The sequence below is a fragment of the Homo sapiens genome, chromosome 11 (genome assembly GCF_000001405.40).
Source record: "Homo sapiens chromosome 11, GRCh38.p14 Primary Assembly".
NCBI lineage: Eukaryota > Metazoa > Chordata > Mammalia > Primates > Hominidae > Homo > Homo sapiens.
In genome coordinates, this window is record NC_000011.10 from 124787139 (window position 1) to 124801885 (window position 14747).

General features: G+C 41.5%; 1 protein-coding gene and 1 long non-coding RNA gene across 7 annotated transcripts in view, besides 7 other annotated features; one reads left to right on the plus strand and one right to left on the minus strand.

The window, feature by feature from the left end:
* The window catches only part of MSANTD2 (Myb/SANT DNA binding domain containing 2), a 33909-nt gene extending 20641 nt beyond the window's left edge, over positions 1-13268 (minus strand). For all 6 annotated transcript variants that reach the window (NM_001312919.2, NM_024631.4, NM_001312921.2 and 3 more), the window contains exon 1: positions 12733-13268. In NM_001312919.2, the coding sequence (NP_001299848.1) occupies positions 12733-13242 (510 nt within the window). In that variant the 5' untranslated portion in view covers positions 13243-13268. The remainder of the gene's footprint in view (positions 1-12732) is intronic.
* Positions 6132-6633: an enhancer, noted in NCBI's record as "NANOG hESC enhancer chr11:124663166-124663667 (GRCh37/hg19 assembly coordinates)". NCBI's record gives its function as "activates a minimal SCP1, AML or CMV promoter by ChIP-STARR-seq in naive H9 embryonic stem cells {active_cell/tissue: H9 hESC(naive)}" and the evidence as "EXISTENCE:reporter gene assay evidence [ECO:0000049][PMID:30033119]".
* Positions 11911-11960: a silencer, noted in NCBI's record as "silent region_4030". NCBI's record gives its function as "represses an Ori minimal core promoter by ATAC-STARR-seq in GM12878 lymphoblastoid cells {active_cell/tissue: GM12878}" and the evidence as "EXISTENCE:reporter gene assay evidence [ECO:0000049][PMID:35858748]".
* Positions 12191-12270: a silencer, noted in NCBI's record as "silent region_4031". NCBI's record gives its function as "represses an Ori minimal core promoter by ATAC-STARR-seq in GM12878 lymphoblastoid cells {active_cell/tissue: GM12878}" and the evidence as "EXISTENCE:reporter gene assay evidence [ECO:0000049][PMID:35858748]".
* Positions 12671-12910: a silencer, noted in NCBI's record as "silent region_4032". NCBI's record gives its function as "represses an Ori minimal core promoter by ATAC-STARR-seq in GM12878 lymphoblastoid cells {active_cell/tissue: GM12878}" and the evidence as "EXISTENCE:reporter gene assay evidence [ECO:0000049][PMID:35858748]".
* Positions 12671-13620: a biological region, named in NCBI's record as "NANOG-H3K27ac-H3K4me1 hESC enhancer GRCh37_chr11:124669881-124670488".
* Positions 12847-13454: an enhancer, noted in NCBI's record as "NANOG-H3K27ac-H3K4me1 hESC enhancer chr11:124669881-124670488 (GRCh37/hg19 assembly coordinates)". NCBI's record gives its function as "activates a minimal SCP1, AML or CMV promoter by ChIP-STARR-seq in naive H9 embryonic stem cells {active_cell/tissue: H9 hESC(naive)}" and the evidence as "EXISTENCE:reporter gene assay evidence [ECO:0000049][PMID:30033119]".
* Positions 12951-13620: a silencer, noted in NCBI's record as "silent region_4033". NCBI's record gives its function as "represses an Ori minimal core promoter by ATAC-STARR-seq in GM12878 lymphoblastoid cells {active_cell/tissue: GM12878}" and the evidence as "EXISTENCE:reporter gene assay evidence [ECO:0000049][PMID:35858748]".
* Positions 13290-14747, plus strand: part of MSANTD2-AS1 (MSANTD2 antisense RNA 1) — a 34060-nt gene continuing 32602 nt past the window's right edge. Inside the window, exon 1 of the long non-coding RNA NR_103862.1 lies at positions 13290-14118. This is a non-coding gene — a long non-coding RNA (MSANTD2 antisense RNA 1). The remainder of the gene's footprint in view (positions 14119-14747) is intronic.

Here is a 14747-nt window from a genome sequence, read left to right on the forward strand (position 1 = left end):
TACAAAAATGATACAGTCACACCATATGGAGACCAAGGGGCCTTATGAATTAAGGTTAGTTCAAATAAAGTAGTGCAGCAAAGTGTGGTATCACGAGGCGCAACACGGGTAGGAATAACATGTAGGAGTAACATACTCAAAAGAACCCTTACCCTAGCAATCAGTGTCAGAGTCATGTTGAGAAAAGCAAGCTTCAGCTAAACCACATCATCTAAAGCATCATTAAACGAATGCCAACTTGACTTTTCTTTTTTTGGAGTTGGAGTCTTGCTGTGTTGCCCAGGCTGGATGGAGTGCAGTGGCACGATCTTGGCTCACTGCAACCTCCACCTCCTGGGTTCAAGTGATTGTTCTGCCTCAGCCTCCCGAGTAGCTGGGACTATAGGTGTGCACCACCAAACCCGGCTAATTTTTGTATTTTTAGTAGATACGGGGTTTCACCATACTGGCCAGGCTGGTCTCAATGATTTTTTTGATTTTTCATTTTATTCAAAGTATTTCACACAACTGTTTGTGTTAACATGTGAACTCTATAGGTAAAAGGAGTTTATACCTAGGAGTACCTATGAAAATAAACATCTTTTTGCTCATACATTATTCGAGTTTCACAAACATCTGGCTATACTGCCATAGCTTCTTTGACTTTTTTGCTCAGTTCTTCCTTTATAGATAAAAGCCAATTAGTGCTGGGGGTGGTGGCTCCCAGCACTTTCGGAGGCCAAAGTGGGCAGATTGCTTGAGCCCAGGAGTTAAGAGACCAGCCTGGGCAACATGGCAAAACCCCATCTCTACAAAAAAATACAACAATTAGCTGGGCTTAGTGCTGCATGCCTGTAGGCCCAGCTACCAGGAGGCTGAGGTGCAAGGATCACCTGAGCCTGGGGAGGTTGAGGTGATCGTGCCACCGCACTCTAGCTTGGGCAACAGAGCAAGACCCTGTCTCAAAAAAAAAAAAAAAAGCCAATTAATTAATCATTTTGAAAGATTTATAGCCTTGGCAAGAATATGGTGACTAACACACTGACATATAAACCAATGGGGAAAAAGGAATCCTAACTACCCATGCAGAGTGAGGAATAGGCCTCACTCGCTGGGCAACCTGTTTACAAGAAGCAGAAGACAGGCAAAACTCAGCATGAATAGAAATAAGAAATATGAATAACCCACATATGCTCTTGGAGTTAAACAAAATAAAAAGCATGTAGATCTTTCATTCCTTTTTTGGTGCATCAAAATTTACTGGAATTAAAATCAGACTTACCACTACTGTTTCTTGAAAAATAACAAAAGGTTTCATGAATATATGGTTATGCTGCAGTGAAGAAGTTAGAATTTTTTTCCTGATTTTTCCTCTTAATTTTATAGTGTGCTTATATTACTTACATAAGGAAAAAAGTAATTATTTGTACTGTTGTAAAATTGGCACAACTCTGACTGCTCAAGGCCCAACCAACTATTAACCATGTTTCCTAAACTGTATAACAGAGAAGGGATCTCTCCTGGTTTTCCTTAAAACTGACTCTTTAGGGCTCCACATAATGCCTGGCACAACAGCAGATGCTCATGAACTGATGGTTGATGAGTAAGAATGTAGCACTTTGCTGCTTGGTAGTACAAACCTCAATGACAACTGGATATACACAAGACAAAGGAATGATATAAAATCATGTAAATCATTCTTAATATAACAATAGCAAATGAATTTCTTTCATAAGCATAATGAAAGAGCTCAACTTCAAGGATTTATCAATGAATATCATATTTGAGGGTCTTTTTCCCTAATTGTGTTAATTGCTTAATTATATATTTTAAATATCACATTATTTTCTACCAAAATGTAAGCTCTTTGAAGGCAGGGTTTTGTCAGTTTTGTTCACTGAGGTATTCCCAGAGCCCAAATCAATGCCTAACATGTTAATGGGGTGCAATACATCTTTGATGAATGAATGAATGGAAAATTCCTTAAGATGGTGTATAGGTAGTGGAGATACCAAATATTAGGTTGAAGTGCTTTTTGACCTATCCTATTCTTTCTAAATTATAAACCAGCTATTTCCCTTTAGAGAAAAGTATTTGCAACTTAAAAAAATAATAAAAGCAGTTTTGGGTAGATATGAACTTTTATTCTGGTTTTATTAATATCAATTACAAACATAATTGGTTTATTTGAATCAAGTAATCTGAAGATAGTAGAGAGACAGTACTGTAAATTTCAAAGGCTATTACAACAAAGTAGTCTTACATAGGCTGAGAAAATGCAACTAGAAAGCATATCTAAGTAAACAACTTCTACTATTGTTATTTATATTGAATGAAGTAATATTTGATAGCCCAAAATATATAATTTATGAATACAGCCAAGAACACACACATAAAATAAAATGATGGCTGTTGTTTCTAAAATACCTGAGAATAAACACAGGTTTCTATTTTACTAGCGTAACAACACATCCTACTAAGTGAAAAGGTAACACTCACTTGATTAGTGCCAAGAAAAAAAAAAAGTATTTCCATTGGCTTTCAAGGACCTTTCCCAACTAAAGATGGTTGAGAATCATACAGATTTAAATACATGCCTTTTTCCACAGCAGACATCTTTCAATTATTTAGAACAATCGGAGGGGAGGGGAACTCTGCATTGATTAGGAACTCCAGATAATTTGTAACATATGCATAAGAGGCACAGATCCACTAAGCATTCATTTTCAACACTGAATGAAGCTTCTGCAATGGTAAATATTAATAGCACACAGAACACAGTGGAGGAACCCCACATCAGAAACAGAATTAAATAATATCCAATCATAACTGCAATCCTAACAGTTAATTGTTTTAAAGAGTTCTTTAGAGTACTAGTCTGTTGTTTTTGAAACTCAGAAAGTTTTTCCTTCTATTTTATTTCGTTTGTTTTAACATTACACAGATACAATTTTCCATAGAAAACAACTGCTGGTTCTACGTTAACGTAACACTAGGAGCACAAATCTAGGTATCTAGCTACATGACACTTAACATTTGAAATACTGGATCTGAATTTTAGTTCTTACTCTCTGGTAATATTGTGAAAAAGTCGGGGGGGAAAGCAGGATAATCACTTCTGAAGACTGGGAAGCAGAACTGAAGAGTCTGCAGAGAGTATATGGTAGAGGAAATACAGACAGGACTGTCTTCATTTGGTATTTCAGTTGGTTTTCCTTGGGTTCTTAGAAATCAAGCCTGAAAACTTCAGCTATGAAATACTGTTATGGTCTTTGACTGCAGTCAAGAACCCTCTGTGTAAGCTGGTAGAGAAGTAGATAGTGAGTTGTCTCACAGGTTAGGATCTAACAAATTCTGGAAATTAAAATTCCCAGATTCTTCGAAACAGGTCCTCGGTTTTGATGTATATGAAATTTATTCTTGTGTCTCCATCTTCGTTACCACTGCTTTATTTCACTTTCCATCTAGCTTACTGCAAGAAGCCTCTAAATAATCTTTGTGCTTCCAGTCTTACTCTTTTGATTCTCCATATTACAGCCAGGGACTGTTTTAAAATTTAAGACTAACCATGTCATTGCCTGGCTTAAAATCCTTTGATGATTAGAATAAAGTCCAAACGCCTTAGCGTATCACCTGACCTCTTGTTTAAGTCTCCAGTCTCATTTCTTACTACTTCCCACTCCCCTGCTTCACCCTTTATCTCAAAGCTTAGGCTCAAGCTATCTAAAACTATGTAATATAATTTCACCAGAATATCTGGGACAGATGTTGCAAATTAATGTTTCTGGAGTTTCAATAGGTTCAGTCTAAAAGAACACAATGAATGAAAAAATCTTGATCTCACTGTATTATCTTCTAGTCCTCTTTTATTTAACTGTAGGTTATGGCCCATTAGTGGGTTGTACAATTAATTTTAGCAAGTTGTGACCACCTTTCTAAACACAAGTAGGAGATGAAGAGATAACGTGTAAGGGACCAAGAAGTGAACTATTCTGGTGAAGAGGACCCAGGGACAGTGAAAGGGGGCTAGGGACAAAAGGTGAATGGGAGCTGGTTTCAGGTTGGAAGAATGGGTGCATGTGAGGGACATTTGGAGAATGCCATCATTGACCATCAATGGGGTCACAACAAGCAAACCTGGAGTATCCTTGGTCTACTCCATGCCCTCCTAGAACTGTCCCTGTGGCTGGAGGGTCTCCAGGAGAGAGACTCTGGCCCCTACAGCTGCTCCGTGAATGTGCAAGACAAACAAGGCATCATTACGGGCTACATCATCAAAACCTTAGAACTCAGTGTACAGGGTGAGTGAGAAGCACAGACTTCCGGACCCCTCCCCACCTGCACTGGGAGGTCAGGCGAGTCACTCTCCTAAATGGCTGAGGGCAAGAGTTGGAGAAGGGATAAATGAAACGACAGAAGGGTGCAGACAGAAGGGTCACCAATGTGACCCTGAGCTGCCAGTCTCCGAGGAGTAAGCCCGCTGCCCAATATCAGTGGGATCGGCAGCTTCCATCCTTCCAGACTTTCTTTGCACCAGCATTTGGTGAGGGCATTTCTGGAGACAGGCAAGGCTGTGGCTGGGGAAGGGGAAAGATGAGAGGTACCACAGAGACTGGGGTGAAAAGGGGAGCCAATGCTGACAAGCACTGGGGAGGAGGAGGATGTGGGGCAGAGAAAGATCCCCCGCCAGGGGCAGGTATTGTGTTAGGTGCATTCACTGTGTATACTGTTATGAAAGAGGCTCTACAGCTGGAGTGTCTGCCTTCAATTAGAACAGAACATATCAGAGTATATTACATGTAGTTCAGTATAGTGTCATTATGTGGATTAAGTTAATATTTACAAAGCACTTAGAATAGTGCATGGCACATAGAAAATACTATGTGTTGGCTATAATCACTGTTTTGTGAAATCTGTTTCAGTTATACATATATGTCATGAAACTACTAGGTCCCAGGGTAAAATATATTTCTTCTTCCTGTGAGTTGTGGTCAAAAAAAGATGCACTGTTTTGGTTTTACTTTCCAGTATACAAATTAAGAAATGAGATATGTAATGGATATTTGCGCAACTGCAATTCAACACCATAAAAAAGTTGTTACTCATCACAACATATAAATGACCTGGAATTGGTATGTTCACTATAATGTCATCCCAAAACTACTGGCTCCACCATTCTACGTGATTATGACACCACTAAGGCATCATTTACGGCTCCCACATCACTCTTTCACCACATGCCATGCACTACTGGCAAATTATTCTTCAATTAAAAAGCATGACTTTTTAAACAGCTGAACACTGTTTGGATGCTTCCAGTTTTGCATTCTTTGGTAAGTATATCTCATTATATTTGCAGTTGGCACTATTCTAGGTTATGCTGCCTCTGAGCTTTTACACTAACTATTCATCTACCTTTGAGTCCACCTTCACCCTTCAGGATCCACCTTTTGAAAGCCTAGGATGTGTGTGCTCCTGTAGCACCATAAGCATAACATTAACATGACACACAAGACCTTGTTCACAATATTGTAATTGGTTCCTTAGTAATCTGACTCCTTTATTACAAGATGGACATCTTGAAGGTGATGGTATACTACCGTAACTCTCAGACCTACTGCAGTAGGCACTATCTGTTGATGAATAATGAAAAAAATAAAGACCTTATTTCAGACCTTAGCATTTAAAGAAATCTTGTGATGAATCTGTCAGTTGAATCTGATGACAGGGAATGAGCAAAATATCTAAATCCCCTCCCCCCCTCCAGATACCTGAACTTTAGCCAAAAGTTAAGCTCCACACTTTTCCCCTGTAACCTTTCCCTGTTTCCCTCTGGCTTTCTAATGGCAAGGGAATTCAGGAGCCCAGCACCACTACATCAGCCAAGAAAGATATCAAAAAGATACTGAGTTCTAAAGCAGCAGTCTTTAACTGGGGTAGTCTCCTTTAATAATTGATGGAGGCAACTTGAAACCTTAGGGATTCCTGTCATTCCCCCTCTTATTTATATTGTTTAAGTTATCAATCCTGGCCCCTGAATTTAGAATAACAAAAACAATATAGGCCAGTGATACTGTTTCTTTTAAATGTAACTTGAATATTTCCTAAACAGCAAAAATTTCAAGAGACAGTTGATAAAACTCACAAATAATGATTTAATGTGTATTTTTCAGATTCAGTTTGTTATTCAGTACATTTTATCGCCAACTCTCATCATATTCATCTCATACCAGACTTAACATTTTCTATGTCCTGCTAACCTCGTATAAATTTCCAAACACATCATGAAAAATTTTAATGTCAGCTTAAAAATCTTCCAGAGGATACATGGGTTTCAAAGCCTTTTGGGAGTACACAAGCAAAAAGTCTGAACACCCATTATTCAAAAGCTGTTCTGGCCAACAAAACAGTCACTAGCCACAGGTGACTATTTAAATGTAAATTAGATAAAATTAAAAATTCAATTTTGCAGTCACGCTAGCCACATTTCAGGTCCTCAAGAGCCACCTGTGGCTAGTAATGCCGTACTGGACAGTGCAAATTCAGAACACTTCCATCATCACAATAAATTCTATTGGACAGGGCTGTCCTAGGGAACCTAGAATATGCACTGTTTGCCCCAGTGAGTTGAAGTTATAAGACTTTTATTCCTGGCACCACCTCCTGGAATGGCAGGCCATTTTTTTTTTTTACTTTTATCAAGATTCCTCCTACACAGGGGTAAAGTGACAGAAAGGTCAAGAAGGAACTTTGAGCTCCCCCTAGAGGTTTGAGTGTGTGGCCAGGAGAATCCTTTTACAAAGATGAATTTAATACTGTGAATAACAACTTTTTACCTGAAACTGTTCAATATGGTAGCCACTACTCACATATGCCTATTTATAACTTAAAACTGAATTAATTAAATATAATTTAAAATTTCTGTTTCTCAGGCACAATGCCACACATTTTAAGGGCTGAACAGACACATGTGACCAGTGGCTATCATACTGAACTGAGGTAGATAGAGAATATTTCCATCATCACAAAATTTTATGGAACAGTACTATTTGTACTACATGCTTTCTAAATTATTTTTTCCTTTAACATGTCCTCTTAATGAAGTAACCAGAATATTTAACTCCACCCTTCACTGTATTTCCAAAATGCCAGAAAATAAACCCAGAATTCTACTCATTCAGTTTTAACATGTGCTTCTTAGCTCCTTTCCTTCTAAAACTGAAATCTTAAATATAAGTGTATGATTGGTAGTCAAAGATGGTCTATTCTTAGAGGATACACATCAAGCATCTGTCAAATTCATAAGCAGATAAGCAAACTGGAAGGCACAAGATTTCAGGTAACATTGGGATGGTAACAACAGAGACTAAATATATAAAAAATAACAGGAAATAAATCTAAACCTATTTGAGTAGCTTATCATATTTCTTAGAAATCTTTCAATGAGAAGATAGAAGAAATGTCTTGTCTGCAAACGCCAAAGAGAAGTCCTCAGAGATGGGCAGAGTCTATTAAAATGCTTATCAGGGACAATGAGAGCTTTTTGCTCCAAGTTAGTTATCTTTGCCCTGTTGGTTCTTATAAATAATTGCAAGGCTTCAGAGCTAAAATGAAAGACCAAATATACTATATGGTGATTTTCCTGTTAGAGTACAAAATTTGTTCCAAAGATGATGACAATTACTGATGAATAAATCTAAGCAATGTCCCCAGAAAATTAATCATTTTGTTCTCTGGGCAGAAGACTCTTTTATCTTTTATTTATTATTTATTTATTTTGAGACAGGGTCTCACTCTGTCACCCAAGCTGAAGTTCAGTGGCTCAATCTCAGCTCACTGCAAACTCCACCTCCCAACCTCAAGCGATCCTCCCGCTTCAGCCTCCTGAGGAGCTGTAACTACAAGTGTGTGCCACCACGCCCGGCTAATTTTTTGTATTTTTGGTAGAGACAGGTGTCACCACGTTGTCCACGCTGGTCTCCAACTCCTGAGCTCACGTGATATGCCCGCCTCAGCCTCCCAAAGTATTGCGATTACAGGCATGAACCACCATGCCCGGCCTCTTTTACCATTTTTAAATTTGTCTGATGAGCGACCAGCACTGATTCAGAAAAGGCAAGTCTTTTAGGTCACATTCAATCACCTTGCATTTCATCTTGAGGCACAGCTAGAAGTACACATCTGTTTCAAAGACATAAAGCCAACTCTCAAGAGGCAAATTTTTGGAGAACACCCAAAAATATGGGACTTGAGAATGAGTTTTGCAGTGCATCAGATTAACTGACTGAAGTGTGAATGCAGCATCTGGCTCAGAGTGAATGCTTTCATGAATTCCAAGTCTAGATAGGTCTTTCAACTACTACAGTATGGCCAGCGATGAGACTGGTCACTCCTTTGAAGTCATCACACTTATAGTCTGCTTTAGGCAAATAACACTAAATCAAGTACCGCCTTGCATTCCATCCCTTGTGTTGTCTTGACCAGCTTTTTAACTCATTGATGTATGTACACAAGCTTCAATTGGATTTTATGCTCTTGGACTACAGGAGTGTATATTATACTTTTATTTTTATTTTTATTTTTAAAACTACAGTTCTTTTATTCATCCTAACACCTAGCAGACAGCCCTCCACATAGTAAGCACTTAAGTATTTGGTGACTGGAGATATGAAAAGGCCTACAGTAAAAGAGAAAAATCATGCAATCACTAGATAAAAAACTACCTAGATTTGTGTATCTGACTCCAAAATTGGGCTGGAATTGTTAGTAGACAAATTTTCTTCTGGCAAACAAACAAAAATGCAACAAAACTTCAAGATAAACAATCTATGTAGTAAGGCAGTGTCAAACACATCCGTTTTACCCAAACGACAGAACAAATACCAATAAGATGACAGACATCAAAATCAAACTTTGCAGCAATAAACAAATTTTCATATCTGACTGTAAATTAAAATCTTGTGTGCTTAGAAACATGTTCATTTAGACAGTATTAAAAAGTAGGATGTTAGTCTCAAAATCCAAGAGTTAAATTATTAATTCAATTTCAATACTTATAATTTTAGTATTTTTACTGTATAGATAAGAGGACCAAGGCACAGTCCAAAGAAGGTAAGTGACATGCTTTAAGGTGATTCAGGAAGGTGGTCAGAAAAGGGTGCAATAAGGCTCAGCTTTCTGATCCTTTATACAATGTGAGGAAGGCTGCTAATCAGAAATTATCTGACTAAAGGAAGGTTTGCATGGAAAAATTAAAGTTGCTATATAGCTCTTCCTTTTAAAGTTAGAAGAAATTATTTACTGGGTTTTCATAGTTGAATTCTTTTTTTTTAAGAGACCAGGTCTCACTATGTTGCCCAAGCTGGAGTACAGTGGCTATTTACAGGTGCTATGATCATGGCACACTGCAGCCTCAAATTCATGAGCTCAAGCGATCCTCCCACCTCACCCTCTAAAGTAGCTGGGACAACAGGGAAGCGCTACTGTACCCGGCTCATAATTGAATTTTTGACAGGAATTTCAAATATATTAGCCCAGAAATGTAATTGACTCACACATATTCCTTCTCTGTGAGCCTCTGACATTGAGTTCACATGTACTTTAGTCTGCGTAAGAAGTTCCTCCTTTTCCTTTTCCACATCTTACTACTTTGCTTCTATTTTGTAAAATCTAAAGCAAAAAGTATTACTAAGTTTCTTTTTGTAGTTCTCATCAACACAAAGTGAAAGAGATTTTTGAACTACTTGTTTTAAATCTGCATTTCTGAAACTGGGATCTAATGACTTCTTTTCAGAGGTTTGAGATTCTCTGAGATTTTAAGATAGCAGTTTTATTTTCATAAGCATAATCTGAGTTACTTGAACATCCACTTCATAATTGTGTAGGAATATGATTTCAGTGACCACATTTGCTTCTGTGCTGAAGATTACATTCACACTAAATCTCCTTAAATGCAGTATTCTTCAGACTGGGTTCCAAAGTCTGTTTTTTCGTTAAACAGCAGTATTATTGAATAATACTGCTGCAGATTTTTATATTTTCCAATATTCTCTTTCTAGACTTTATTTGGTGAATTAATTAAATAAGGCCGGATGTGGTGGCTCTCGCCTATAATCCCAGCACTTTGGGAGGCCAAGGCAGGCGGATCGCTTGATTCTAGGAGTTTGAGACCAGTCTAGGCAACACAGTGAGACCCTGCTTCTAAAAAAACAAAAATACAAAATTTAAAAATTAGCTGGGCGTGGTAGTAAATGCCTGTAGTCCTAGCTACTCAGGAAGCTGAGGTGGGAGCATCACTTAGGTCCAGGAGTTCAAGGCTGCAGTGAGCTATGATCACGTTACTGCACTCCAGCTTAGGCAACAGAGCAAAACCCTGCCTCCATTAAAAATAAACATAAAACAAATTAAAAAAAATGTAGTGTCTACTATATGCTAGTACAGCAGTGAGTAAGAGAGACCAGAACCTGTCCTTAGAGAGCTTATCATTCTGGCAGGAACACTCAACATTACTAATGAAAAAGTCTGGGTTCTTTGATTGAAATCACATAAAGAGTAGAGCACTTTAAAACACAAAACAGTTATCTGCCCTCCTTGTTAACAGCTACTATGGATCAGAGAACCCATACTCATCAGCACATTCCCAAAATACCCTAAGAGCTTGAGGTCAACTTGGTTTTACCTGTCTGGACACAGGTAAACCAATCCTCTTCTAAAAATTATTCAAATAAATCTCCTTTTCTTGCTTTAAGTTATCCTTCTCATAACTGGACAATGAAACAACCCAATTAGATACTCCCTGGTTGAGAAACAATTTTATGGAGAGATTTATATTCAGTGAGGTTTTGACAACACACTTTTTCTGCGTGATTGGGAAGTTTCTACAGACAGAAATCAATCAAGCTGAAACAGTTTAAAATGCCTAAAATGCACTTCTAAACTCAAGAAGAGGTCATGGATAGACGCTAGCCAAGACAGTACAAAAAGTCTCCCAAAAATTTAACCTTGGCTGGGCACGGTGGCTCACGCCTGTAATCCTAGTGCTTTGGGAGACTGAGGCAGGACAGCTTGAGACCAGGGAGCTAAAACCAGCCTGAGCAACGTAGAAGACCCTGTCTCTTAAAAAAAAAAAAAAAAAAAAAAAAAATTTAATGAGCCAGGTGTGGTGGGGCATGCCTGCAGTCCTAGCTACTGGGGAGGATTGTTTGAGCCCAGGAGTTCTTCAGGTTGGGCAAGAGAGGGAGATCCTCTCTCTAAATATAAATAAATAAAAATTAAAATTTAACCTTAATGACGTTGAATAGAACAAATGAGATTCAGAGAAGAGTAGCTTTGTCCTATTAGCTACTACTTTAATGTCTTTGTTAAAAAAAGAGAAAGCTTAAGAAGTCCCAAAGATAAATGTTATCAAATACACTAATTTAAATTTGTAATGGAGTAATTAATGGGTGGCAAATTCCTTGAACAATAGTAGGTTTTAAATATCTTAGTTTGTGGACCCAGTTTTCTAAGCAACAACATCCCCAAAGAAATACTACTGGAGCCAAGACCTGGAGAACTTTGGTGCAATTTCCCTCCTTTAGCTTACTCTAACTCATGATTGCGCCTATTAGACTTTATTATTGCTCTTTAGTGTGATCATTCTTATTTTATAATTGTTCTTGGTGGTTTTTATCCCCCCTCAAGAAGTTCCCAGAAAAAGTGCCAGCTGTATCAGAAAAGAAGTGCACAGATAATAGGATAAGTAGTTCAGTAAAAACTGGGAGAATCCTATCACAATCTTTTTAGCAGCCACTACGATGAGGAAATGAGCTTAACTAAAATACAACTCCTTATCTGCCAATAATACAAATATGAAAGCCTAGAGTCAGTTCTAGTAGCAAAATCTTAACCTGGCTAAGATTTCTAGCCCAAATTAAGCCTCTGCATTTAAACATGCAGGTACACAAGGACGGCCAGATGCACACTGAGAGTTCTACTTGTCACCACATCCGGCACAGAAACTGAAGCAGGGAAAAACTGGCTTTCCTGAAGGAGCTTCCTAAGAAACCGCAGGGCCTCAAGCCAATCTAACTCTGGAGGCATCGACAATCCAAATTCCAGACCAACTCTTGGCCAAGCTAACTTTTATGGTGTACACTAACTCCGCGGTAACAATACACAATCTGGCTACAATCAAGCCTTTCCAATTCTCCAAAGCATCTCTAGTCTTACTCGTCCTTCGTAGCTCAAGATAGAAGCAAAGCGACTGACACAAAGGCCAGTCGTCCCAAGGCGCTTTTTCTATGGCTCCGCTACGGCCACTTATTAACTATTCCTAAACTAGGGGCTCAATGCCCCCCCCTTCTGCCCTTCCTCAATCCTGCCCCGGCCGGTAAGCCTCTGCCTGGGAGCCCCTCCGCCTGGAACAAAGCGAGGGGCCCCGGCGGTGGGGGCAAGAGGCGCCAGCGGCACGGGGACTGCCGCACGGCGCACAATGAGAAACTACCAACTTCAGAGCGCAGGAACATCTCAATTGGCAAGAAAGAGGGGCGGCGGCAGGCACGCCCAACTTCAAACTCAGGAAACCTACGGGCTGGCGGCCATCTGGGAAAAAGCCCCCTTCCCAGGGAGAGAAGAAAAAGGCGGAGGAGATGCGAATCGCCCACCGGGCCCCGGAGGAGAGCCCTGCCCTCAGACCGGCCCCCGCCCCCGAGGCCCGCTTCCCCGCCTTCTCTCTGCCTCTGGTTCGCTGCCCCAGGCCGGGCGGCCGGTTACCTTGATGCGCTCCCGGCACTGGGACGGGGTCCGCTCGTAGCCCAGCTCGGCCAGGGCCCGGGACACGCGCTCGTACATGGCTGGCCCGGGGGCCTTGCTGCCGAACACCGTGCCGGCTCCCTCCAGCTGCTGGTACCGCGCCTCCACCAGCCGCTCGTTGCCCCACACTGCGATGAGCGCGTTCGTCTCGGCTGGCGTCCACGACATGCCCCGGCAGGCGGCGGCGGCGGCTGCCGCAGCCCCGCCACCGCCGCCACCAGGGGAGAAGGAGACCGAGGACGAGGCGGCGCTGCGGCCCCCCAGCCCCAGCCCGAGACCCCCGGACGCCGCTGCCCCCGAGCCCGCCGCACTGCCCGGCCCGAGCGGGGAGGCACCCCGAGGCGTGGAAGGGTCGGACAGCGATGGATTTCCGTCGCTCAGGCCACCAGGAGAAGCCGGGGAAAGCACCTCCATCTTCGGAATTTTTAGCGGCGAGTTGGCGGGCAGCTCCGAGCCACAGGGCGCAGCCATCTTCCAAGCGGCCGCCGCTGCACCGCCCGGAAGTGACGCGCCCGCGCATCCGGCCACCGCGGTCTCCGGGGCTGCCCTCGGGCCTGGCTCGCCCGCGGGCGGATGGCTCCGGGTCTCTGCTGCTGAGGATGTGGCTGCCGGGCGGAGGTCGTCCACTCCCCTGGGCCTTTCTCCGCGAGCCCTCCCACGCCGCCCGCTCCTCTCCCGGGGCGAAGGGCGGGGACGAGGCGCGCCGAAGCCCCGAGCTGAAGAGAAGGGTGGGGGCATGAGGGCGCTGGAGTGAGGAACAGATTGGAGCCTTCCCACTTCCTCTCCAATCTCAGCCCCCGGGAGGAGGGGTGAGGCCCTCGAGGGGGCCCGGAGTTAAGGAGGAATAGACCGTTTCTCTCTCTCCTGTCTCCCCCGCCTCTGCCCGTCTTCCCTCTAAGCCGGCCTCTAGGTGCAGAGGCTGACGTCCAGGATGGGGACCGGGGAAGCCTCTGGAGGGTATATCCGGGAAGGCACCAAGGCTGAAGTGAGAGCGGTTCTGGGGAAGGCTTTAAAAAGCAGATATGGACCAGGGTAGAGTTCGTACGCTGTAGCTTTTCAAGAACACCGATCTCATTAATTAAAGAACAGCAACTATTTAATTCCAGTTATAAACTATTGTTTTCCAGTTAGTCTGGGTAGGTGTGGCCGTTTGTAGAATAGTTAGATTACATTAGTCTATTGCGTTGGTACAGTTGTCTATAGCTTGAGCATATAAAAACTCCTGAGCCCAGCAGAAAAGTTACTTTCCAATACCAGTCTCCATCCTCCGTGCTTTGGAAGTTGCATCGTTTTCCGGTTTTTCGTACTCAAAGAACACTGTCAATTATGACAGCTCTGTGACCTCTGGTAATGAATTAGTGTATTAGTCACTCCTGAAACGTTCCTTAAAGTGCTGGAACTTAACAGTAGCACAGCACATCCAGTACACAGCTGTACCGTATTTCCATATTTTTCAAAGCTGAAAATCTTAATTGGATATCTTGGATCATTAACTTAAAACCTCAGCGGATTTTTCTTTCAAAGCAGACATAACTGAGGATGCTGACCAATGAATGCAAATAAACTATGCAATATTTTTTAAAATAACAAATGTATGTTAGTTTTTTTTAAGCTGAGGTCAACTATGTTTTGGGGGGTATGTGCTTTTTTAAATTATTGTTTTATTTCAATCGATTTTTGGGGGTAACAGGTGGCGTTTGGTTACATGAATAAGGTTTTTAGTGGTGATTTCTGAGATTTTGGTGCGTCCGAGCAATGTACACTGTATCCAATGTGTAGTCTTTTGTCCCTCATTAGCCTTCCCCTTACCCCTGAGCTCCCGAGTCCCCAAAGTCCAATGTATCATTCTTATTGAAGACAGCTAAATTTTTAACTCTGAGACTCACTGGAGAGAATGACTGGTTGTCTTTGGGTGTTACTGAAAAGCCAAAGGATTAAGCAATAGGGATAAAGTAGAGGAGGAGATAATTGTTCTC